Here is a 26,510-nt window from a genome sequence, read left to right as displayed (position 1 = left end):
CAAGTTAATGTCCAACACTGCTTTAATGAACAGATGCAAAGCCTGTGTAACTAGCACAGTGATGAAGTGACACAGAGGATTCGTAAGCCACTTGCAAACACTGGTCTTAGGTTGACAACATATTCCTGCACATAGAACTTCGTCTACACTGCTTATTTGCCAATCAAAATTTTTGATAGATTTTTCAAAGGCCAACTTTACACCTAAAGTCCAAATTACCCTCTATTCTGACTCGGTAGCATTGAAATCTACAAAGACTTCAGCGAACTCCTTAAGTATTCAGTATCTAACAGATGCAATGAACTTCTGGTGGCCAAGGCACAGAGGGTCATAGTTCTTGCAGAAAGCCTTTCCTGATGGGCTTGAACCCTCATTCTCTGGCCATCCCCCAGGGATTCACTGGGGGCTGTCCTGCGTTATGAAGTGGCGAGGTGGGCTACCTCCCACTGATGCCCCTTAGTACTCTCAGACCCCATGGAGCTTTGCTGTTGGTTTGCGTGCTCCAGCCTGCACCGTGCCTGGATGTTCCTCAAACTCTTCTAACTCCTGTTAAGTCAGTGGGCAAGAACCTGATCCATCACTGATAGATAAATCAATGGAAGAAAACCCGCTATCTGGCCACTGTTTGAGCCCTCCCTCACTCCTGCCCAGAGGTTCTGAGAAGACAGTATGTGCCATCTTCTTCTATTCTTATTAAACGATTTATCTGGGGGAACTTAATATTTTCTTTTAGGATAAACTGAGCTAATGCGATGTGCTTGTTTTAATTTGCAAGGTTAACTGATCTAATTATCTGTGGCGTTTAGTTAAATCCTTGTGCCTGGGCCGGCTGCAGGTGTGGGCTTTGAATCCTGCCAACAGGAAATCTCTTAAAACGAACTGATCTAACTCAGCGGGTCTGCTGGTATGAGGGATTTTCTAATAATGCATGAATTTATTAACAGCCAAAGATAAATAGAGGATGTATTTACATTAAACAAATTCACATGGAACTGTCTGCTGCTTCCCCGGCCCCCTCCCAGCAGATGCATCCCCCAACTCCACATCACTGTCTGTGCCATACAGGAGGAGCAGAGAATGACTCTGAGGAGCCCCATGCAGCTACAAGTAGATGCCCCTGCCGTCATGACACGAAGGGGTAAGCAAGTCAGGCAAGGGTTAAAGATTAGATTTTAGTTGGCCCCAGACTCCAAAGGAGCCAATGGTGTTGCCCTGCTCCCTAAAAGTTGACACAGTCTTGCAGTTAACAGGTACCTCCCTCTAAAGAAGGAAAGTGATGATCCCACTTTCCCTAGGCTGGGAAGATGGCCCCAGGAAATCTGAGTCTGGAACTGAGTGCTACACTTTTAGAGAAGTATGTCCAGAGAAGGTGGCCAGGACAGGTGATATGGTTTGGCTCTGTGTCCCCACCCAAATCTCATCTCAAATTATAATACCCATAATCCCCACGTGTCAAGAGTGGGACCTAGTAGGAGATGATTGGATCATGGATGTGGTTTCCCCCATGCTGTTCTCGTGATAGTGAGTGAGTTCTCACAAGATCTGATGGTTTTACAAGGGGCTCTTCCTCCTTTGCTCATTCGCTCTCTCTCCCCTGCTGCCATGTAAGATGTACCTTTGCCTCTGCTTGCCTGCCACCATGATTGTAAGTTTCCTGAGGCCTCCCCAGCCATGCAGAACTGTAAGTCAATTAAACCTCTTTTCTTGATAAATTACCCAGTCTCAGGTATGTCTTTATAGCAGTGTGAGAATGGACTAACACAACAGGAGAAGGAAATCCTTCCTCCTGAAGCTAGTTGAATGACTGATGTCATCCATCTTCCAGAAAACAGCCTTGGCAGATATAGGTGTGGCCAGCTTGAGGTGGCAGGAGGAGAATCTTGGGAGGCAGGTAGAGGGGACTCACCCCACACAGATGTCCTGAGAGCCTCCTGGCTTCCCAACCCCTGCCCTGCCATGGCCCTGACCCACTAGTAGCTGCCCCAACCTTCTTCTGGAGCTCCAGAAACCCTCACAGAGGCTAGGCCTCTGAGGCCAGCACTGTTCAATGGGAGTGGAATTATTACTCCAGAAATGCACTTTGCTTGAAATACCGTTGAGCTGCATTGTTTGAAACACAGCTTCAGGATCAGGCCAAGCAACCAAAGACGCATTTGAAATGCATTTCCCATTTTCTAAGGCCCAGGCCCCCTGACAGCCCGAGTCACTTAGTACTGACCTGTTTTCAACTAGCATGGAGCTCTCCCTCTTCCACATGAACGATCCTGGATAAAATTGTACTTGCAAAGGCCCATGTAGAATATGCACACACGTGCAAGATGTACTTGCGCACATACAGATGCAGCTGCACACTCATCACTCAAACACACACACATGCACGCACATACACACAACAGAGTACATGCCATATAGGTGCACACAAAAGTATGTGTACATAACAGGTGATGTGAACATATAACACACATGGGAGAGGCACATGACATCCTACACATGTCCACATGTGGGCACACGAACACACAGGTACACACACTTTCTCAGACTCCTTTGGAATTGAAAGAGAATGTAGCTCTTTAGGGACAGCTGAAGATAAACTCTTGATTTCTGATTTCCAGAGCAGTTTGGACAAGGTCCTCTGAAATGCATTAAAATGCTAATCACAGCATCTGTCTGAACTCTGGCAGCTGTGTGACTTGGGGGAAATGGAAACAGAATGGATTCTGAAGGCTGGGACTCCTCTTTGACTCTCCTTCCCTTGCTCTCTCCTTTTTCTCTCCACTGCCCTCCTCTGCCTGCTCCCCTGTGGGCTCCACCCAATACCATCCTCTGTGCCACCTCATCCTCAGCCTGGTCCACGTGGCCATTGACTCTGCCCGACTTTCCCAAGTGCGTGGCTCCCATTGCTAACAAGTAAAGCCACCGCCCTTCTTCTGGCGGTGTCCAAAACTCCCTGCTGTGGAGTTGCCCCAGCCCATGTGCAGGATGGTCAAGGCCGAGTTCCAGACATGGCCTGCATCCCAGAAATGGCCTCTTGCCCTCTGGGATCTCTGTTCTCCCCAGGTGAGAGCAGAGAAAGTGCCTGCTAACAAGTTACCTGTCCTGTAACAAGGACAGATGGTAGAAGTACTCTATTTAACCTAAAAGGAGGGCACTCTGATGTGGAATGTCAGGCAGTGTACTAGGCAGGGCAGGGAGAATGTTTTAACCAGAGTAGCTTTCTGATACCCCATAATGACCCGTATAGTGACAAGGGATGGGATCAGGTGGGGGTCTGAGACTCACACTCCTGAATACCCTTCACTGACTCAGTCACTCATCTTGTGATCATTAGCTCCTCCCCAATCCCCACCGCCTCCCACTCTGACCTCAGGATCTGGGACGACACTGGCTTCTGACTCCCCCACCCGTGAGCATGTGGCTCCACACCCGCTGAGTGGCTCCACTAGTTTCCTTTGCCTGGCATCCTCCTATGTCCGCCCCAAGCTCCTTCCAGCAGGTCAGTCCTTGGCCAGCATTCCAAACTCAGCTCACATGCCACCTTCTCCAGGGAGCCTTCCCCAATCTGGATAAGGCTGGATAAGATGCCCTCTCCTGCATGCCTAGAATTTCCTATGCCTACCTCAGTTTACCAGAGTTTAACATGACTGCTCCACCCTAGACTGTGCTCTCTTTGAGGGCAGGGACTGGGTCCTACTTATTCATGTGGACCCAGCATTGGCACAAGGCTGACCTCCTAAGTTCTCAGTAGCTGTGAGGCTATTGAAATGCTGTGGGTGGCTGCATGGGTACATGAACCCTTGGGACCAGACCCACTTTGTGGGAGTCCCTAAGCAGACATCCTGGAAGTTGTCTGCCCTTTCTGCTGGGACCTAGAATGGGCTCTGGTCAGGCTTGTATAAGTACAGACCTCACACCAGGTTTCATGCGCCCACATCCCCACCCCCACCCCATGAAGATCGAAGCTCCCAGCATACCACAGTTCCATTTTTCCTTTTAGGCATCAAACTGTCACTTCACTAAACACCATCTGGAGACTCCTGGCCTCAGCCCCTCACTTCTCCCAAACTCTTATTAATGTGATGGGTGTTTATTCCTTCTTCCTCCTCTTCCACTTCCTTCGGAACATCTCAGCTCTGTGGCCTGCAGACATTCATCTTATCTTCAGGGAGCTCAGCTCCGCTGGGGAGGGCTGCTGTCTCGCGCTTGGCTTTAGGCAGCTGACAGTGATCAAGAGCAGACAGAAAGAGCAGGCGCGACTTAGCTGGCCCCTTGTGGAGCCTCATCCCAGCTGGCCTAGAAAGGGGGATGGCAGAGGCGAGCTGAAGAAGGAACCCGGTTAAATGTGGTCCACAGTGGCCTTTGACTCTGCCAGCACTCCAGGACCCTCCATGGCTCCCTGGTGCTATCAAACAAAGCCCAGATTCCTAACCCCAGCTTCTGGGCTCCCATGATTCTGCTGCCAGCATACTGAGCTCTCTTTTCCTTCCTGTGCCCATGTTGTGGCTCTCATCTGAATGCATCCCCTGCCCCAATTCTTGCTTGTCCTTGAAGGAGGTGTTCATGTCTTCCTCCTCCATGCAGCCTTTCTTGACTACCCCATGCATACCAATTCCCTTCCATTACACTTACTGCATAACCACATTATTTTTGCTCAGTGCTCCAATCCACATTGCACTCTGTTTTATATTATGAATTTTATCTCCCTGAACCTACACAGACTCCTCTGATGGTACCCACAGAGCCATCCCAGCTCTGGGCACACAGTGGGCCCACAGTCAACCCCCACTGTCTTCAAGCAAAGCAGACCTGCAGCAGTGACCCCACTGAGACAAACCTCAGCTCTCTGAGGGTTGCCCAGTGGCCTTTGAGGTGCTGGTACACAGAGCCCTCCCCCAGTGTCCACATGGAGGCTGCCCATTCCCATCTTCCACCATAACCCGGCTGGCACTCAGGGCCAGCTTTCTTCCCCTGGAAGAGCATTAAGCTAATGCGTGTTGTGTCTCATTAGTGACATTCTGTTTGTGCCAGGGCCAGGCAATCTGATGGGTGGTTGATTGGATATTCTGTTTATTTATGGCAGGAAAAGCATTCTTTATTGAGGACTGGGCAGCACATTTCTGTCCCCATGGCACTAAGATCCTCTGGAAATCAAGCAATTGTAAATTAAGACTAAATAAATAATATATAATAAGCAATAAAGATTGCAGGCCTCCATGCAAAGAGCTTTCCTAAGGCATCTCCCCAACCTGAAGACACTGGCCGTCCCAGAGCCTGGAGGAAGGTTGACAGGAATTGCCCTCTTTAATTGATAGGTGAGGAAACTAAGTAAGGCCTGTGGAGGTTAAGAGACTTTCCCGGAAGCAGGATAATGGTGATCCAGCACATGGCAGCATCCTGAGGAGTCAGGAGACCCAAGGAGACTCCTCACAGACCTGTCCATTTGCTGAGATTGCACACAAGGAAGTAGTTATCCCGGGAGAACATCTGAGAACATCAGCGTGGACTTTCTTCCTCTGTCTCCTTTCGGGCAGCATTGCCAGTGTGGGTGGGCCAAACTGGCTGAGTTTAGAAGTCTGAAGATAGCACTGTGGCCCTTGCTCCCTGTGAACCAGCCAGGGCAGGCTAAAATTTGGGCTTCTCCACTCCCCATCTGTGAGATGCCTCCCCTGGCAGGGCTGCTCCATGACCCACAGAGTGCCAGGGGCTCCGAGATTCAAAGGCTGTGATTCTCAGCCAGCCTGTCTGAGAAACACACCTCCACACCCAAAACAGCAGGCCAGCCAGGGCACCCAAGCCCACCCCAGGCAGAGTCCTGAGTCATGGGACAGAAATGGACAAAGCTCTGATGTCTCCCCTGAGGGCTCACATATGGTCCAAGTGTCCCACCATGCAGCCCCAGCCAGGGGCCTAGAAAGGGCTGCCTGAGTCATTCTGCAGCCAGAACAGTGGGAGGGGAGAGGCTAGGCATCGATGGGAGTCTTTAAGAGCCCTGAGCTGGAGGCATCAGAAAGGCCTCCCAGATAGAAAGGCAGTGTGTGGAGCTTGGCTGTACAGATGCGATCTACATTTCACTCAGCCCAGACCCCTCTCCAGCCAACCTTCCTGCCTTCCTTCACTCCTTTTCTGCTCTTCTTCTTCATCCTTGCAAAAACTAATTGTCTCTCTCACCAGCCCGAGCCCCGTGCTTTCCAGAGGTTTATGCATGAAACTAATTATGCACCGCTAATTTAGAAGCTAGCAGCTTTCCCGTTACCGTTCATTTGATTTGGGGTGTTCTGCTGTGTGGCATTTCTGTAAATACGCCACAAGGCTGGGGGCCTTTCAGGGAGGGCAGCCTGAGTTCGGGGTCAGGAGGAGGGGCCTGGGAGTCTGCGGGTGGCAGGTGTGGTATACTTCATGAGGGAGAGGGGACAGGAGGGCGCCATTACCATAAACCAAGGAAGGCCTCATTAGCAGCCCTGGATGGCCCTGCCAGGAGGTAGGAATATGACTGTAAAATGTCACACTCAGTTGGGTGGGGACAGATTAGAAAACACCCACAAAGGTAAGAAAAAAAACCTCCAGGTTGACAGGAGTGTTTAGAGGGCCTGGACGCCGCAGGCCAGGAGCTGGGACCCACTGAGCAAGGTTGGGGCTGGAGAGGAGCAGTGACAATAAGAGTGGTCATTGCCCTGGAAAACTCCCTCCAAAGAAAGATCTCAGGCCCAACTGGGTGAAGGCACTGCAGTCCTGGAGGGCTGGCATCGTAGGGTCCAGGAGGGAACAGGGGCAGGCAGGACCCTTTGGCCCAGGTCCAAAGACTTCTGTTTCCACTTCCAATTATAGCTTCCTTTGTGACCCTAGGAAGACAGTTTAATCTCTCTAGGCCTTGAGATACACTTCTGGAAATTGGGAAGAATCATTTCAAAGTTGATCACGGGGTTTGGTAGGGACCCCATGAAATGAGAGATCTTAAAGAGTTTTTTGTGAATTACCTGACACAGTCCACAAATATGTCGGGTGCCTCTGAGGGCCCAGCAAGGGCTCTGGGGAGTTGCCTGGGCTCTTGGTTCTCTGACCTGCTGCAGCCAGGCCTGGTGCAGCCATGCCCGCTGCCATGGACATGTGAGGCTCAGTCACACAAAGCTCTGAACTCTCAGGAGGGCCCCTCACTTGGGTTAATGCTCTGCAGTCATCATCTTGAAATTCTTAATCATTTTTGAACTAGGGCCGCCACATTTCCAATTTGCATCTACAAATCACATCAGACCCTGTCCTCATGGAGAAGGTTCTCTAGGGACTTCTGTGCATTCATTGTGTCTTCTGGAAAAGGAGCTCCCTGAGGACAAGAGCTGTGTCTTCTCCTGTGTTCCCCCAGAGTGCAGGTCCACAGAGTGCTCAACAGAGAACTCAGGCATTTCAAATGGCTCTTACACATGGTACACCTTGCATTATCTAAAACAAGGGTGCCCAATCTTTTGGCTTCCCTGGGCCACATTGGAAGAAGAATAATTGTCTTGGGCCACACCTAAAATACACTAACACTAATGATAGCTGATGAGCCAAAAGAAAAAAATCGCAAAAAAAAAAAACCTCATAATGTTTTAAGAAAGTTTGCAAATTTGTGCTGGGCCAGGGGTTGGACAAGTTTGAATAAGTCAAATCTTGTCTATCTATCATGCACACTGCCCTTTTACTTCCCTTCATGGCCCTAGCAAGCATCTTCCAACAACCCTACTCCCCTCTCCCAGCAAACATGAGGGCCCCAGCTCTCACTTCAACATAGAAGAGTAGATGTCAGCACCTACTGCAACAGCGACTCATGGATGCTGACAACCCCACTGTTGACTCCAATCTCTGGTGGCTAGGAGCCTGCCTAGCTGGCAGCTCAGAGATCTCAGGGTGCATCCACCAGGGAAGGATTGGGAGAAAAATCGGACAATGCCTGCAGGGCCTGTGGACAGACAGCCAGACAGAAAGGCCTCCGGAGGAGCAGACACAAGGGTGAGGAGAGGAGATGTGGCACCAGGAGTCACCAATGGGAAGCCCAGCTTGCTGCCTAAAGGGAAGCTGGACAAACTGCTCTCTGGAGGCTACTGAATACCCCCAGGAGACCGTGATGCTAGCTTCTCCTTTTCCCTGCTCGAGACCTCCAGGCAATGCCAGAGAGGCCTTTCTGGGTCAGGGGTGGGCAAATGGATACAGGGGCAACCCCCAGATCATCCTCCTACCTCTGCTGAGCTCTCAGGGTGCTCCAGGGAGTCAGCAGGGCTCACGGTGGGGTGAAGCTTATCACCTACTCTCCTCTGCTCTGCCACCCATTTGCTGTAGACCAAGTATCAATTACTGTCTCTGTGCCACATTTCCCTCATGGGTAAGATAAACTTGGTCCTCCCAGGAGCTCTTTCAACAGTACCACTATGACCCTCCCATTTTCCCCCAATCATGCCTTGTCCTTCTCAGCATCCTCACCAACAGTCAGACATACGCAGCTTCTAATTCCAATCCAACCAGAGCACCCATGTGGCCTTGTAGCTAGTCTCCTACCTGCACTGGCCTCTACCTCCATATCTGCAAAATGAGCATGACAATACGGTCCTTTGCAGGGCTGCCAAGACGAGGGGGAAATGGCAGCCACTCACTGAGCAGAAGCTACTGCTGGGACTCGGTGACCACTGACCATTCTGGCGTACAGCCACATTGCTTAGCAGGACAGCTCTGGCTGCCTGAGATGCCTTGCCTCCTTTCACCAGCACTAAAATCCACTCCATCTGATATGGTTAGGCTTTGTGTCCCCACCCAAATCTCATCTCGAATTGTAGTTCCCATTATCCCCACCCGTTGTGGGAGGGACCTGGTGGGAGGTAATTTAATCATGGGGGCGGTTCCCCTCATGCTGTTCTTGTGATAGTGAATGAGTTCTCACAAGATCTGATGGTTTTATAAGGGGCTTTTCCCTCTTCTGCTCAGCACTTCTTGCTGCTGACATTTGAAGAACGAGTTTGCTTCCCCTTCCACCATGATTATAAGTTTCCTGAGGCCTCCCCAGCCATGCTGAACTGCCAGTCAATTAAACCTCTTTCCTTTATAAATTACCCAGTCTTAGGTATGTCTTTATTAGCAGCATGAGCACAGATTAACACGGCACTCTTGACAGCAAATCTCAAGCCCTGCCTCCACCCTGGGGCTTGATAACTCCCATAGGACTCAATGGGGAATCAGCCTCCACACCTGTGGTGAACTAGTTGCTTCTGTGGGGTGGCTCCTGTCTTAGATACCTTCTCCCAAGCCTCTCATACCGCAGGCATGCAATAGACAGCAGGGAAGAGCTGTTGAGTGAAATGGACACACTGTGTGAATAACACTCTTGGCCACCCACACTAGCATGTGATGTATTGTATGGCATTCCTTGTCTTTGATGCTGGTTTTTCCTTCCCTTGATGGAATCTCAGTGTCATTTTCCAGCAGGTTTTTTCCTTTCCCATAGCAAACCTTAAGAGACCCACCTCCCACATCCAATCAACCCACAGCTGTTACTTGGTGTTGATGCCAAGTTTCCAAGACTGCCAGAGAGGCAGGCCTCATGCTGAGCCACAGTGACCAGACTTCTGTGGGAACCAGTGTTGAGTAATGGTTCAAATGGTAACCAGCATTAGCAAATAGTTCCTGTGATAATTGCAGCCTAATTTGTGTGTGTGCACATGAATTCGCATGCATCTGTATGCCATTAGCACTCTGAATTATCTCCTGAGCAGCAGTGCTTACCTTGGGGCCCTGTGGACAAAGCCAACAGTGAGACATATCTAGAGCTCAGTTTCTTCTAAGAACAAAGGACAGGAATAGCAAGATTTCAAGGAGAGGAAAGAGTTTGCTTGCAGACCATTCTGTGTTCCACAAGCTGAACTTCTGGCCATTCCATAGCACAGAAGCAGAGAAAGTCAGGAAAATCCAGACCTCATCACTGTTAGTAGTTGGGCTGCACGATGTCCTCAGCTGCAACCTCCTGGAAAAGAAACAAGGGTAATTCAGGAACCCCTCGCTCAGCATAAGAGCTGTGTTCCTGGTTGGACTACAGAGAGGACCGTGTTCCATTTTAAATGTGTCCAGGGAGTTATTTGAATAACTCCTTATATAAAGTGGGTGATCATCTCTGGACTTGAGTTTTCATATCACAGACTTCCTAAGTACAGAAACTTTTAGGGTTAAGATCTCTACACAGACCCACTCATGTTCAGACATGGCGAGCCCTGGGGCCATGGTGATTCTTAGGAAACTTCCCAAAGAAGCACCAGTGATATTGGGTCTATTCCTTCGACTTCCTCCCCCTTGGCCAATACTGCCCATCCATTCAGAATTTGAACTGCTAGGTTTTTGTAACAAGTACCTGGGAATTGCTATTTGATTTTCCTTTTGGTTTTCTGAAAAGTCTTTCAATATGATAAACTGCACATCATGCCATTCAAACTCTGCCTTCCAAGGACGTATGTATTTAGAAGAAAGCATCTTCACACACACACAAAAAACAAGTTGGTGTGTTGTTAGGGGCTGAGTGTCCAAAGTCTATGAGGATAGATTGGGGTGTTCCAGTAATGGCCAACGACAACCTTGCACAACAAATGCCAAGACCTCCACCCGCTCCCCACTGAGTGTGAGCACAGCCAACCCAAGGCAAAAGCTGCAAGACAGAGCTGCTGAAGATCGGCATGCATCCCTCCAGACTCTGAGGCCAAGGTCACATGGCCCACAGGCTCATGTGTGACAGGAGTTTGGGTCACACGTGAGCTTCATGGAGTTGAGCTCATGTGTGACCCAAACTGCTGTCCAGTCCTCATTCCTCCCACTTCCAGCACATCACATCCATGAATCCTGTGGATGACTGTGGTTATGAAAATGTGAGGACTCCATGCTAAGAAGAGAGTGAGTAGATGGAAGGACATAAGATCCTACTGAGACAGAGGTGAAGAGAATTCAGGTAACTGACTGGAAGTTCAAGAGCTCTGAGCAAAAGAGATGAGAGAGTTACCTACACAGACCATTAACTCTGGGAGAGAGAGAACACAGAGCATTTTGGCTTTAGAGAGATGACTGAGTCTAAGCATGGAGCCAGTGTCATGGGGACAAACTGGGACCAAAGAGAATGATGTGGAGCATGAACTCAGCAGCTCAATCCAAAAACCTATGAGCGCAAGAAAACACTTTAAAACCCTGTGGTATGGCCCCACATCCTTGAAAATTCACCACAAGGCAGGTAGTCCAGGCATAGGAGGTAGAATCAGAAAGTGTCCCAGGGCTCTGTCATCAGCGATGAGCCCGGAAAGCAATGTCAGACTCACAAGTAGCAGCAAGTTCTCTGACCAAGGCAAGCTTTGCAAGAAATGAAGGCTCTGCAAGCAGAGCCAAGCTCTCCAGATAGCAACAAGCTTTGTGGATACTGATGAGCTCAGCCTGCAAGCTTAGCGTCTACAAAAGACAATAGATTCTACAAAGAGTAACTGGTTCTAAAACCAGCGAAGAACTCTGCAAGCAAGGAGTAACTCTGCAAACAACAGGCTCCACAAACTGCTATGGGTTCTGCAAACCTTAATGAGCTTTGTAAGCAGTATCAGGCTCTGCAAACCCCGAGAAACTTTATAAGTGGCAGCAAGCTTTGCAGATAGTGATGAGCTCTGCATGTGATGCCCGGTTCTGCAAACAACAGACTCTACAAACAGCACAGGCTCTAAAGCCAGTGACGAGCCCTTCAAGAAACAGCTGGCTCTGCAAACAGCAATAGGCTCTACAAATGTCAGCCGGCAGGGATGAGCTCTACAAGTTATAACAGAGATACTGCAAACTGTAACAAGGTCTCCTATGTGTTGGTCCCCAAAAATAGCAGGTTGAAGAACCTCATTCCATGCCAGGAGGTGAAATACCTGGCCATGCAGTACTCCTTCCACATAAGCCCAAAGGTGATAATGGAGCCCTCTCTTCAGCAACATTTGAATGGAAGGCCAGTCCCCACCATGGGGAAATCTCCACTAGTGGTACATCCTTACTAGGGCAAAGAAAACTCCCAGAGGCAAGAGTTCTAGTGTGCACCTGGAAAACTCAGGGGTGGTGCTAGGGATGGCAGTGGAAGTGGCCAAAGCAGATACTCACATCTGCAGAGAAAAAGCAGAGCCCTAATGGGAAAAAGAGCTCCAGAGACAGGACAGCCTCAGCCACCAGCACAGAATGCTGCCACCCCCACTTCATGACCTTAGCCGTCCCGGGAAAGGGCTCCTTGCTCAAAATATCCTGCTGTCTGGCCTGTCTTTGATGCTCGAAGTCCCATCATTAAAACTTATACTGTTAGAGTTCACGCATGACCCTTATTGGAACGAAATCACCACCCACCCACCCACTCTGCCAACACCCTCAGCCTGACACCTCGGTGTGAATCAGCTCGTCACATCCTCTCCCTGGTGATAGACATCCAGGAGCAGCATTTGAAGGTGTGTGGGAGCCAGATTGTGCTGGATCCTTGGAGCATCGGATATTATGCTAGAAAGGACTGGAGGAGGAGTGGGCAGGGATAGAGGACAGGGAAACAACTTGGGGGTCAGGCTTGAAAATGGAAGGGTCACATTTCACAGTCCTGCCAGGCCACAGCCTCCTGGGAAAGCTGGGCTCAGAGGATGGAACAGGCCAGTGGGCACCAGTGAGTGGGAGAAAGGAAAGGAGGAGGAAGTGGAGATGGTCTTCGGGCTGCGGGATGTAAGGTCTTCTCCCAGGCTGAGCTCCCAGACCCTGTCAATAGCAGGAAGCCTTGCTCAGTTAATTAATGAGGTATTCAGGCTGACCCTTGATCTCTGGAGCAACTCAAGGGCTTTGTGTGGCTCCTATTAAGTCCCTGGATTTGTTCAGCAGCTGCCTGGGAAGTGGGTTGGTGGAAGACTCCTTTCCCCTCCTCTCTCCAAGTTCTGCACACTCCCAGATGCCCAGCGGCACTCTTAGCCCTGGATCTTGGGGTGTAAGGGTCCCAGAAAGAGCTGACTCTGTGTCTGGAGGGGGCTTTCAGGAGGACTGGGATATTTTCAGGGAGACCACTCTGAGGAGGAGGAAGCCCTGCTAGATTCAGCCATGGCCTAGCTGGCAGCGAGGGGCCACGATCAGCCGCTGGTGTCTCCTGAAGACAGCTCCAGTCAGGCTCTGGAGGCAACAAAGGCCACAGGGAGCCAGGGCCTTGTCCCAAGAGGAGAACCAGAGACACTCAGAGGCCCTCCTGCTCTTTAGGAGGCACCCCGGCTTCTGCAAGCACCCAGTGATAGAAGCAGCCACCTCCTACTTCCACTGAACCTTCCAGATGGGGGCAGGTCTCAGAAGCCTCCTCAGGAAAGACATCACCAGGGAGGGAGCTTCTGGGAGGCCCAGTGACAGAAAGCCTGGGAGAGGAAGATCAGGCTGTCCCATCCAAAGATGAGGAAGGGAGTGGAGAAGTGGAATGAAGGCTGAATCTCTAAACATGCAGGCCTGGGGCTGGAGGAGTTCCCGAGGTGTGGTCTCAGGAAATGCCTCTGGCCTGGTAAAGATGATCACTAGACTGGCAGCCCAGAGAATGGCATGTGGATCTTTGCCTCTCACCTGGGCATGGCTACAGTGCATCAGGAATAGGCCCCAGATTGAGCATCCGCAGGAGGGTACAGGCCTGGCTCTGTTATTCATGGCTGTGTATCACCTGATCACCTGGGCCTCAGTTTCCCCAGCTATAAATGGGGGCTAAGAAGACCCATCCTAATTTCGACCCAAAGGAATTCAGTCAGAAGATGGCAGCAGAAGCCTTTTGGGAAAGATGTGGCCCTGCAGATAAGGGAGTCATGTTCATCATGGATCTGAGTGGCCCTGAGCCCTTTGACAGAGTCCCCTTTGGGACTACACGCTGTCAGACGTGCAGGGCTGGACGGAGCAGGACAAGGCAGGTTGTTAACCCAGGTCCTGCACACAGAGAAGCAAAGCCTCACTCCTCAATCCATATAGGGCAGGCAGAGTCCTGGGCCTGCAGAAGCAGGCTTGTCCTTTCAGGGTCTCAACAAGCCAGCACTACGGGCCACCCCACCGAGGCCACTTCCAGAGTCCTTACCAAGCCCCACAATGGAGGGTTCTTTTAAGGCACAGAGGTGGAAACAAGGCCTCAGAAGCAAAAGGCCAGACCAGGGTGTCTGCCCTGGAGAAGGAGGAAAAGGCCCAGGGATAACTTGATGGGGAGAAACCAGGGGCAGCTGTGCAGCCAAAGAGGAAGGTGCCAGCACTGAAGCAGGACCGAGGCTCTGGGGTTCCCTCTGCCACAGGTGACCAAGGGTAGGTATGACACTCCAGAGGCCTCAGGAGGAGAACAGAAGCCACGGGGCCCAGATTCAGCAACAAGAAGTCACTCAGTGCATTTCATGCTGCTAGAGATGGGAGAGTGAATGAAGAGTGAGCCCAGCCCTCAGGGACCTTCCCGTCTGGGGGTGCAGACAGGCTCCAAAGGAAGGAGGTTGCGAGATTCTAGGATGGAGGCTCCTCTGGCCCTCAGTGGCATCAGGGTGAGGAGACCTCTCTACAGAGCCCTGGGAGAGCCCGGGGGCCCAAACCTCGGCCTGTCCCAGCTGCGGGTATATGATCAGTCATTCTCTGTGGCAAGATTTCCTGCAGTGACCCAGCTTGTAGACCTTGTCTATGACCTAAAAGCGTGTGTCCTGCAGATCTGCTGCAGGGATCTGCCATCCACCTCCATCATCCTTCCCTGACTGCCCATGCTCACATTCTGTGTCCACAGCCCTGATGTCACAGGGCTGGGGCAGAGGCACTCTGGGCTCAGCCCTGTCAGCCCTGGCTCCCCAATTATGGGCCTGGAAAGAGAGGGGCTTCTCATTGGGGAGCCCCAAACCACATTCCTTCCTGCCCCCTACAGCCCAGGCCTTGGCTGTGCTATCCCACAAGGGTACAGTGACACCCTTGGTGGGAAGTGGACATGAGTTGGAAGAAGAGGAGAGAAGGGAGAAGAGGTAGAATAATAAAAAGCAGAGGAGGTCTCACTCACAAGAACCCTCTGAGCAAATTAAGCCTGAAGACAAAGGAAGAAAGAATTAACTTTGGCCCAAATATTGGATGCTCTGCACTTGGTATGGTTCATCCTTTAGAAGGTGTGAGCAGATAGGCCTGAGAAATTCTCTACTTCCCATCCGCTCCTCCCACCTCTCAATGCATTAAATCCTTAAAACAAAATGAAGGCGCTGCTGTTTTAAGGAAATAAAAGGCTCTCGTATCCAAAAGCCCAGAGGTTTTGAGTGGAGAGGGAGAGAAATACATTTGAATGTGGATTTTTTTTCCCCTAAAGTGCCACTTAGCAATGCACAGACTGGGCATCCCTGAGGGAGAAGGCTCTCACTAGGGAGATGGGATGGGACTTTGGCCACGGCAGAGCTGACTCTAGGGATAGGGACCCATGTCCTCGTGCTGGAGACACGTCACAGAGAGGAAAGGGCTGTAAGTTAACTGATGGCTGCTCTCCTCATTAGGGGCCGTAGCACATCCAGGGCTGGTTCCTGTGCCTGGTACAGTGAAAACAATGTGTTTAGTTGACTCTTTAATTCCCAAGGTTAATCATGTTATTTTTAAAAAATATATTTTATTGTGTTAACAACCGCCAGTGGAGATAGTTAATTAAACAAAGTGTGATGTTGGGAGTAAAATATGCTTTGCAGGCGGACTCTTTTTCCTGATGCCGGATGGACATTTCCATATTGATGGGTGGTCATAATACAGCCATCACATATCAGCATGGTTGTCCTGAATACCTTGCTTATTGCGGGGGTGTGAACAAAGCTGTGGGTGAACACAGGGAAAATTAAGCTACATTCCTGCCTTCAAGGTGCTCACAACAGATAAGGTCACAAGATGCATGACAAGAACCATGTGGGGGCTACCTGTAAAGGAGGTCAGCAAAGGGTTGGCTGTCCCCCACCCAAGCAAGAGAGGGTCACTGGAGGAGCCTAAAGGTCTGACTTGGGTCATTTGAATGCGGCAAACTTCACTGGGCTCCCAGGCCTCCTTCATAGAACAGAGCCCACCTGCCTCCTGGCATGGAAAACAGGAGATGCTCAGAGTTGAGATGCATCCTCTCGTACCTCCCAGCCCCTTTCAGGCAACGAGAAACTACTGCCCACCTGTTGGGATGCAAAGGGATATGATTTGCTTTTCTGCTTCCCAGTGCACAAATCTTTGCAAAGCTGTTTTTAGTTATTTTTTAACCTGAATTATAACTTCCTTTTTCCAAATATGATAGGTCTGTCTGGAGGCAAGGCAATAGGGGTTTTTTGCTAGAAAGACAGATGAGTGGAGAGGAATGCTGGCTCATTGGAGAAGGCAGCTCAGTCCAAATCCAGGCAAAACCCAAGGTCAGCCTGAAGAACAAGACTTGGGTTAGATCAAACAGGACGGGGGTGGAGGGAGCGGGGAGAAGGAAGAAGAAAACCAGCTGCTGCCTGTGGGGAGTTCATGAGTCCTGCTGGAAAAATAAGCTTCTTTATTTTACCTTATGTATTATTAGGTGCCAGGGTGGTACAGAGGCTCATATCGGCATTTTCTCTTCAGACTACCCCTGTTCCCAGGCTGCTGGCCATCCAGTGACTGCAGTCTGCATTTGAGGCCCTGATGGGTCATCTGCACCCTGCCCTCAGCCTGAATTCCACCCCAGGCAGGCCAGCCTCCTCACCATTGACCCCCGATGCTCTGTGCCGAGTCCCACCTCCTTGCCATTGCTCCTGAGGTTCCCTCCACCTGAAATGACCTCTCTCCATGGAAATCTTTCCCAGTTCAAGGGTCGGCTTTTTCTGTAACCCCTTTCTCTTAAATCCCATAGCCCTTAAAGTCAGGACAGCAGCCTCCAGCCCCAGTGAAGGTTTGTGGCAGGGACCAGTTCCCCCAAGAGTGTCACACGGTCAGTACTCATAATCCCCTCCTTGGGAGCTTTGAAGAAATGTGACCCTGAGAGTTACTGGGGCTGGTTAGAGAATGTTCAAGAAAATTAGCATTGGGCTAAAGGTTAGGGAGTACCCCACAAACACAAGCTGTTTTTCCTGAACTGCCTTATCATATTCATTCATCCATTCAGCAAATGGCAAGAACACACACATAATGTGGTCAGTTTTGTAAAAAGAGGGCGGTGCCTTTGCAGGCCAGGAAGAGGTTTCCCAGAAGTATGAGCAAATATGTTGGACCATAAAAGGAATGGTATTGCTACAGGCAGAGAAAAGGAGGGGGCCATTCCAGGTAGAGGGAACCCGGAAGCAAGGCAGAGGCCAGATGTAGAAGCATATTCAGGAAGTTGAGGCAGGTGTGTGAGGGGCAGCTGGGGGTGGTGCCTCATCTGGAGGGTCTGGAATGGCTGGCAAAGCCAGGCAACATTTTTCTGCGGGCTGGAGGAGACTTTTGCATGGAGCAGTGAGGTACCAGCCCTGAGTTTCAACTCCCTTGGGGTGTGAGGGTTAAGAAGGGGTGGGGGCAGTGGGTACTTGGCTCAGGCTATGCTGGGATCTCAGCCAGAGATGTGGCTATGCAGAGGCGAAGGAGATGAATTCTGGAACCATTTGGGGGTTGAGAAAAGGGAGAAGTCAGAGTGATGAATTAAGATAAGAAGCACTCATATTTCACACCTTTACTTATTTACAAATATGTATGGAAAGCCTACTAACCAGGGTCTGTAAGAGAAAGAGGATGATTCCTTGAGCAGTGTCCAGCAGACCTGGGGACATGGTGGGGTGGTGCTCTGATGCAGAGACACCGTGACACAGACTCTCAAGCAGAAATCCTTTCCCAGAGAGTTCTGCTTCCAAAACAATGCATGAGGTGACATTTTAGCCCCTCAAGCCTATGTCCCTACCCCAGGCAGGAGGTGCTGGCGTCTGACAGCCCAGGGAAAGAGAAACTGCTTGCCAGGGCCTGGGGTAGGACAGCCACAGGCCTCTGGGTCCACCTTGGGGTTCCTTGAGCTTGACCACCAAGAGCTGAGTTGCCTGGCTGGGCAGGCACCGCCTGTTTCCCCATCTGTGCAGAAATGACAGTCCTGGCCTCAAGGGTTGTGAGAAGACACCACGGTGTGTTAGAGTTCTGCAGTTCTACTCACAGCACCTGGCATGTGGCAGCCACTTAATAAGCAGTAGCTGTTATTACTCCTGCTGCTATTATTGCCATTATTACATTACCAAGCGTGGCTCAGGGTGGCGTGCATTCAGCCGACACCATTGCTGGCAGAGATGAGTACCAGAGATGCTCCATTCTGGAAAATCTTGCCCCACATCCCACTGTCCCTGCCTCCTGGCTGATGGGTAGGCAGCACATGCCAGCCCAGAGAAGGGGCCCGTGGAGGCAGGGAGCCTTGCCCAGGTGCTGGGCAGAGGAGGGCTCAGATCCCAAGAATGGAGGGGTGGGCAGAAAGTGCTGGGATCCCCCGCCCTGGGCTCATCTCTAGGTTTGCTGGTGGAGGAGGGAATTAAGCAGGCCCATCAGATCCAGGATATGAGAAGCCCACTCCATTCCAGGCCCCACTGGATGGATGGCTGGGGTTGGGCTGCTCAGAGGATGGAGTGGGTGATGTGAGGGAACAGCACCAGCAGCGGGGCTTCTTGGGCCGCTCAGCGCTGTCCCACGTCATGTCTGATGGCTCTTCAGGGTGTGCTGACTGGGTGCTAAGTACGACTGCCCTCCCGGAGACCCCTGTCAGGAGCCACTGAGCTGTGAACACGCGCTAGCTACTGTGTGGCCCAGCTCGGATGCCAGCAGAGGGTCCTGTGGAGGGAAGTGCAAGGCAGGGATGTGGACCAAACCACAGACACACACACACATACATACACACATGTGCATGTGCACACATGCGTGCACAAACATGCAGTGACACACATGCACATGGGTACATACCTGCATACACATACATACTGCACATGCACATGCACACACACAAAAGACACATGCATACACAACCACATGCACAGAGACACATGCACACATACAGCATACACACACGCACAGATACACACAGACACACAGAAGCACACACGTATACACAGACACACTACGTTCGTACTCACAGACACACACAGCCCACACCACACTGTCCACCTCCCTTATCAGGCTCACATTCCTGGCCCACAATGGGCCTGTCCCCATTGGGATTTCCTCAGTGTCCCCCTCCTCCTCCCAAGGGAGCCACCACTCTGTCCCCTACTCTGCCCATGTCCTCTGCAGTGGGACGGGGGGCAGCTGATCCTGCTGGTTGTCCCATTGCAGAGCCTGGTCTCTGCAGCCCTTCCCTCTACCAGGGCCACCACCATCTCCATGTCCCTGGGGCTCCTTCAGATAGAAACTGCAACATGTGGGCTGCTTTGCATTGACAAAGGCGCCCACAGCCACACTCAGGGCAGTGGGTGGGGCTTTGGCAGGTCCACAAGTGAAGTGATGAGGCCCAGAGCACAGCCTTCTGAGCCAGGTCCCCTCCTTCCCACTCCTGAAAAACCAGGCCAAGGCTAGTGACAGAGGAATGTGTTGTCCCTTGCTAGGAGCCTGTGCATTGTTATGCTGGACCCAGGAACGTCCCAAGGAGTGACAGGTACCACCGAGGCCCTGCAGGCAAAGAGATGGGCTGTGCACCATGGGGGAGGGGAAGGCATCTGGGGAGCCCATGAGGTGAGGCGGGTGCCCCGTAGGGTCAGCGAGGCTGTGCTGCCCGGAGGCCCCAGCGGGAAGATAGGGAGGGCAACATTCCAGCCATGGAGATCATCAGGGATCGCCATGGCAACGGGGGTGCAATTAAGGCCTGTTTCAGCTGGGAGCAGCTGTGCGCACTTTATCTGCCTTGAATAAGGAGCAAGGGAAAAAACCTGGGGAGGGAAAGGGGGCGGGGAGACAGAGGGAAATGGCAGTCCTTTGCAGGCCTCTTCCTGTTCTGAGAGAAAGAAGGGGGTGCAGGGGAGAGGGAGGGAGGGAGGAGAGAGACACCGAGAGAGACCTGGACAGGGAGACAGAGACACAGGTGCAGAGATCGACAGAGAGAGACGTATAGCACAAAGAGAGGGCGAGAGAGAACGCGTTTTTTTCCAGCCACAATGGGACCGCTCAGCCTGCTTCTTCCTCCCAACACTCACACGCATACACACATACATAACACACATACATAACACACATACGAAAATATACCCACATGTACTCCCATACAAACTTGTACCCTCCCACACACACATATAAATACACACACACACCCTCTAGCCTCTGAGCCTTCCCTGCTCCCTTCCCCTCCCCACGCCTGGAATTTTCTTCCCCCACCCTGGCCCCTCCATAGCATAGGCTTGCACTTCTGGGCTCTGGGAAAACCCTGTGTCCCTCAACTCCTGAAGTTGGGTTTTCTCCTTGTTAGTGCAGGGACTTCAGCACCCACTGCTCTCACTGCCTGTCCTGGGCTCATGGCGTCCTGGGTGTGGAAGAGTGAAAGGTGGGCAGGGGGTGGTAGCCAGAGCCAAGGGCCTCCAGCTAAATAAGGGACACACCTTGAGGTTACAAATTCTTGTCTGGTTCCCACATGCCCCAGGGCCTTTGCATGTGCTCTGCCTATGCCTGGAAAGCTCTGCTCTCAGATGCTCACTTGGCTCACTCTCTCACTTCCTTCCAGTTTCTTTTCAAATGTCACCTTATCAGAGAGGCCTTCCCTGGCCATTTTATCTAAAGTAGCTCTTCCTTCCCCTTACTCTGCTTTACTGTTTCTGTGACCGTCCAACCAGTTACGCCCTGACTTGCATGTTCATTGTTGGTCCCCCTCCACTAGACCGTGTGCTTCAGGAGCAGGGAATTTGTTTACCGCTGTATCCCCGGATCTGGAACAGGGCCTGTCACTCAGTGGCATAGGGCTTCTCAAAGAACCCTGCAAGCTTAAATGAGTGGGTGGTAGAACTTCTCCCACCTCCCTAGAATCCCATAGCCAGCCTGGAAGCAGAGTTGAGATCAAGCTCCCAGCACTGTCATGCCCCTTTCCCTGGGCTGCACGCTTCTTCCTTTCCCTGTCCCCCATGATCCCGCTGTCCCAGTCACACTGGCCCAGTAACTCTCAGTCAAAGGCAACCCATGCTTCCCCATCCCTTAGGATGACATCCTTCCTCTTGCCTCAGGACCCAAATCGTTCTAAAGCATTCAGATGCCTCCTCCTCCTTGCAGCCCTCCCTGATCTCCAATCCTGAAGCCATCTCTTTCCTATGAACACCTAGGCTACTGAGCTGGGGCAACCAGCTGTGGGTTGGTGGTCCGGTTTTGCTACTGGCAAGCTGTGACTCAGCAAGTCATTTCATCTCCCTGGCATTGTTTCTTGGCCAAAAAGGCAAAGGAGCGTGATGCTGTCACTAAGGGTTTCCTGCTTGGACAAACCCATTGGGGGAGCTCATGAGGCTTGGGCCATGCTGGCATCAAACAGTCAGCTGGCTCTGTGTCTGCGCCTGGCCAGTGGCTGTGGCGTGTGGGCCCAGAGGGTGGGCAGGATAGCATCTGCTGGGCCATGCCATGGGAGGGTGAGTAGACACATTCTGAAGAGCAAGGTCCCAGTACCAAACGGAACTTTCATCTCCAAGGAACCAGGCAGTGGGCTGAGCACTTCTTGGGAAGCGCAGAGTCTGGAGATGGGGCACTCGAGGCTGCCAGACCCATGCAGGCAGTGGGGTGGCCACATCTATTCCTGGCAGTGCCCTTGAAGGCGGTCAGAGCAGCTCACGGCAGTTCCCGCCAGCCTCCCAGATGCCAGGACGCTGTCAGGGGCCAGCACCTGCGCAAGACGGAAAGGGTGGGGATGGCTGCCACTCCCCATCCCCAGCCAGTCAGCAAATGCGTCAGAGCTGGACATGCCCTGCCGTGGCACTGAGGTCACAGCCGGGAGGGGACAGCATAGGGCCATACCGTGTGAAGGCAAGGCCTCGCCAGGGGGCTCAGCTGTCAGTGGGGCTGCAGTCAGGGAGGCTTCTGTGCAGCCGTGGGCTGGAGGCACACCTCAGAGGACTGGTGACTGGTAGGGAAGGGAAGGACTTCCTCTGTCCTCTGCCAGCACCCAGGGCCCTGGCCCCGTCCTCCTCAGAGAACTCATTCCTGGAGAACTGCCCGGGCTTCAGGCTCCAGTCATCATGCACAAGCCTCAAGGCCTCAGTGACAAGAGACCCACTCCCTCCAGTTTGAACCGGGAAGCAAATTCCTGCTGATGTCAGCACCACTGAGCATCCAAAAGTTACCTGTAATGACTATGCGATGCTCTGCACAACTGGCCATTCGACTGCCTCATGGCTCTAGATCATTTTAATTTGGGAATCACTGAATGCCACCGTGTACTCAGACCTAGGCTTATACCAATGTGGCTCTGAGGAGAGATACGTCTCATTTGTGTCAGCAGGATGGAAGCAAGGGAGCTGCAGGGAGCCCTGGATGGCCCCGGAGGAGAGGTGGAGGTGCTTGGGGGATGGTCACCCAGTGGTGCTGGCCATCTGGCTGTTAGGGTTCTCCACTGGCTCATGTGGAATGAATGAACAAAGATGGGAAGAGGCACTGAATAAGTGAATGAATCTCCCACAAAAAGACAGGCAGTCAATAAAAACTCAGGAACATTGGCCCAAACCCGAACACCAGGGCAGGTAAGAATCAGAAAATAAAGTCATGCCCCAGATGGGTAGAGGGTGCAGACACCCACCCCTCAACCCAGGGCCCATGTGGCATCACAGCTGACCTGCAAAGAGGGCTCTGAGCCCTCCAGCAGCCAAGGATGTGCTGGGTGGGCCAGGGCCCCTGGGGAGCTCCTGGAGGCTGGGGAGCGAGCCTGCACAGAGAAAGAAAAACGGGTCGCTCCCTCCAGCTGCAGGAGAGGAAGGCCCAGTTCGGGTCAATGGGGATTGGAAGGGGTGGTAAAGGAGCACGGGGTGCAAGTGAGGCCCCGACTCTGACAGTGAGCACTGGGGAACTGTGGGAAGTCACCATCCTTCCCTGTGCAGTGTCTGTAGTGACACCTGAAGCCCTTCCCAGGGCTATGGGGAGGATGCAACAAGATAATGCACTCAAGCCGCTTCACAAACCAGCATGTGAGGGTGAGTCTTGTAATCAAGAGGGAGCCTCTCTGTGACGTGCTCTGGATCACATGAATTTGGATGCCAAGTGTTTGGTGATTGGCTTCTGGGCTCCAGAGCCCTTGGCCCGTTGGCTGCACAGGCACCCACTGTGGCATTTCATTGGCCTCACAATAATGAGACCCTGCCCTTTATCGGATTATTTTTTTTTTCTTTTCTTATTCCACTTTTAGCGACTATGGCAGGATTTTATTGCATCTCCTCATTTCTGCAACTGATCACACACTGCTGGATAGTCAAGGAAGGATATTTTAATGGTGAATGAATGAGTGAGTGAATGAGTGAAATCACTCCTATACTTGCCAAGGATCTCCTATTTGGCAGAAGCTCCTTGAGGGAAAAAGAAAGGCCAGTGTGTCTTGTGCAAATTACAGGGCTTTGCACACAGAAAATGACCAGTAATGTGGTACTGACTTAATTGTGCTGCCCAGCAACACCATGGTCTTCTCGTGAGTGGCTCCTGACACCTGATAGACTCTCTGAAAACAGGCTTGACAGTGAGGGATGAGGGGAGAGGAGAGAGGGAGCTCAGGAGAAGGGAGAGGTAGAGAGAGGAGGAAGGGTGGGAACCAAAGAATAAATGATTATTTGAATGATTAAAGAAATATTAGCTAATATTTACTGCATGCTTGCTGTGTGCCAGAAACTGTGTCCAGTGCATTACATGGACTCTCATTTAACCCTACACACTGGGGGCTGGGACCATCTTCCAGGTGGTGAAGCTGTCACAAAGAGACCAGGGACTTTAATCAAGGGTATACAGCTCATGAGTGGTAGAGCCAGGACTCAAATATGAACCTGTGGAAACTACAGTCCAAGCCTTTCCTGCCCTCCCTCACACAGGGAGCCCAACAGCACCCCCAGTTGAGGACCCTGGGGGGCTGCATTGGTCACCCAGGCCTGGCTCGACCCCTCCAGGCTGGGGCTGTGTCACTGGCCTGGAGAGCCCCTGGCCTACAATACAAGGTCCTTGATCTCCAAATCCATCCGTCTCTTGCACATGGGTAATGAGGGTTCAAAAGTGTGGCATGGCTGTAGCATTTATGCAGTCTGCAGACCCTCCTCATCACATGCACAATCCACCTGGACACAGCCCCACCACCCACGTTAGTCCGCTCCTGCTAAGGCAAAGCATCCATGTCTGTGACCTTCTCTGGAGCAGCAACCGCAAGCATGAGGGGAGGATGGCGCTAACAAAGCCTGGGTCAAAGTCCGGGCTCTCGCCACTCTGAGCCTCCTTCTCATTCTCTGTAAGGTGGAGATATTAATACCTGCCTTGAAGGGTTGTGAAGAGGATAAAAGCTGGGTCCACGTGGGGCCTGGCATAGCGTAGATACTCAAAGGGTAGATGATAAGGAGGAGGAGGATGGTGGTGGTGGGAGACAGAGAAAGAGACCTGCGGGCACACAGGCGACATGAGGCTTCCAGGCCTCCCGTGGCCATTTCCCTGTCTGCCTTCTCTGCCTCTTCTCCTCTTCAGCTTCTCAGGGGAAGCTCTATGGGAGACACGGAATGCATCGGACTTATGCCTCCCTTTCTCTTTTGGAAAGAGTTGCCTTCTTTCCAACTGTCCCGTCCCTCTGCCCCTCCCTGGGCCTCTGCCTCCCTGCATCTGCCACCCCATCCTTGCGGGCATTGTCTTCATGCCTGCCTCTCTCTCCCTGCTCCCCCCTCCTCTGCTTAATCATCTTAATCATTGTGTCCTTGTAACTCAGCCCCAGGCTGTCTGGCGGCAGCACTACCCCACGAGGTGACAACTCTGAGTCACACACACATTTGGATGCCAGCACTGTGACTACCGACCCCAGACCCCAGCTGCAGGCCCCAGACACCCCTCAGGGACTCAGCAGCAGACCCCAAACCCAACTCAGGGACTCAGCCTACCGAAACACCGAGAAACCCTTCCAGGCTCCATTTCTGCTCCCCTGGGGGAGAATAGAGAAACAAGACCCTGGCCGCGCTCTCTGGGGCAGGATGTCCAGCAAAGGGCTCAGACTGGCCCCTCTGCTCCCGCTTCTGCAGCCCAGGGTCTCTGAAGTGTGGTGGGGAGGGGAGGATGTAGGATCCTAGTCTCTCGCCAGCCTTTCTCAGCCTGTCCTCAGCACCAGGCCACCTAAATCAGCCAGAACTAGAGGTGCTGGTTAAAAGGTAGGTTCCTGGGTCCTGCCCTCAGGCTATGTCTTTAAAAAGTGCACCAAAGTTACAGTTACATGCCCCCTCCTCCTTTCCGAGCAGCCCCACCCAGCCTCTGTCTGCACCTGAAGCTGGCAGGCTGTGTGTGCCCTTCTGCAGGCCGCAAGCCCAGGAGCCCGCGTCACGCACACAGGATGTTCCAACAGCACCCTCTCCTGGAAACTCCCTTTATTTTCTGAGAGTCAACTCAAGTTCTTTTGGTGACCATACCTAGTGTCTCTCAGAATCTTACTCCGGGAGGGAGGTACGGGGAGGCAGAAGGGAATGGGGAGCCTCGTCTGGAGGGCCCCTCCTGAGCCTGTCGGGGCCATGGACAGTGCAGAGAAACACCCCATACCCAGGAACTAGCCCACCCCTGCACCTCCCCACCTCCCTCCTTCCTCCTCTGAAACTGCATCGTTCGCGTGTGTGTGTGTGTGTGTGTGTGTGTGTGTGTGTGTATGCATGCTAGAGAGAGAGAGAGAGAGCATGTTTCTCTTGGAGAAGGGCAGCTTTGTTTATTACGGCTGTAACCTTGGCTTTTGGGTAGAGCAGGGCAGTGGGAATCTTTGGAGCCTGGAGCAAAGAATTTAATATTCATAAGTGACCTCACCATAAATGGAGTCCAGCACCCCCGAAGGACTCACAGATGATGCCCGCTGCCTCCTCCCACGGTTGCCTCTCTCAGGGAGTTCGTCAAAGCGTCCAGACACAGCTCCTGCCCGGCTGCCTACAGTGTCTCCAGACCTATCTCGGGCTCTGGACTCCTGAGCTGCAGTCCAGGACGGGGATGCTAGGGGGGATCCACCCCTACCCACACAGGGGGTCTATACAGGTGCCTGGATACCAAATGCAGGGTAAGCACCCTGGGGTCAAGAGAATGGGCTCAGGGTCAGGGTCTCACACATAGTAGGAACTTGGGACATCAGTATAGTAGGTTCTGATCGAGCATTTTGCATATGTTAACTCATTTAATCAGCACAGCAACCCCAATTACAGATGAGAACATTGAGGCAGGGAGAAGTTAGTAACTGGCCCCAGGTCACACAGCCAGTACGTAGCAGTGCTGAGATTCAAGGCCAAGGATTATAGAGCGTGAGGAGAATCTCACAGATACACGTCAGGCCCATATTCAGTTGCAGAAACCTCTAAATTTTTAGCATCTATTTTAGAGCTTGACACTCAGAATATGCACACTGAATATTTGTTGAATTGACATCTCGCTGG

General features: G+C 51.9%; 1 protein-coding gene and 1 non-coding gene across 126 annotated transcripts in view, besides 2 other annotated features; both read left to right on the top strand.

The window, feature by feature from the left end:
• CELF4 (CUGBP Elav-like family member 4) overlaps nt 1-26,510 on the top strand; it is a 322,955-nt gene that overhangs the window by 95,437 nt on the left and 201,008 nt on the right. The window lies entirely within an intron of this gene.
• SNORA111 (small nucleolar RNA, H/ACA box 111) lies at nt 3,858-4,023 on the top strand. Its single transcript, NR_132967.1, has one exon. It is a non-coding gene; the product is annotated as a small nucleolar RNA, H/ACA box 111 (small nucleolar RNA).
• Nucleotides 5,293-5,792: an enhancer, noted in NCBI's record as "H3K4me1 hESC enhancer chr18:35044533-35045032 (GRCh37/hg19 assembly coordinates)". NCBI's record gives its function as "activates a minimal SCP1, AML or CMV promoter by ChIP-STARR-seq in naive H9 embryonic stem cells {active_cell/tissue: H9 hESC(naive)}" and the evidence as "EXISTENCE:reporter gene assay evidence [ECO:0000049][PMID:30033119]".
• Nucleotides 18,181-19,075: an enhancer, noted in NCBI's record as "H3K4me1 hESC enhancer chr18:35031250-35032144 (GRCh37/hg19 assembly coordinates)". NCBI's record gives its function as "activates a minimal SCP1, AML or CMV promoter by ChIP-STARR-seq in naive H9 embryonic stem cells {active_cell/tissue: H9 hESC(naive)}" and the evidence as "EXISTENCE:reporter gene assay evidence [ECO:0000049][PMID:30033119]".

Source organism: Homo sapiens, chromosome 18, assembly GCF_000001405.40.
Source record: "Homo sapiens chromosome 18, GRCh38.p14 Primary Assembly".
Classification (NCBI taxonomy): Eukaryota; Metazoa; Chordata; class Mammalia; order Primates; family Hominidae; genus Homo; species Homo sapiens.
The sequence above is the reverse complement of the archived record's forward strand: the minus strand, read 5'-3'. Positions and strand labels throughout refer to the sequence as shown.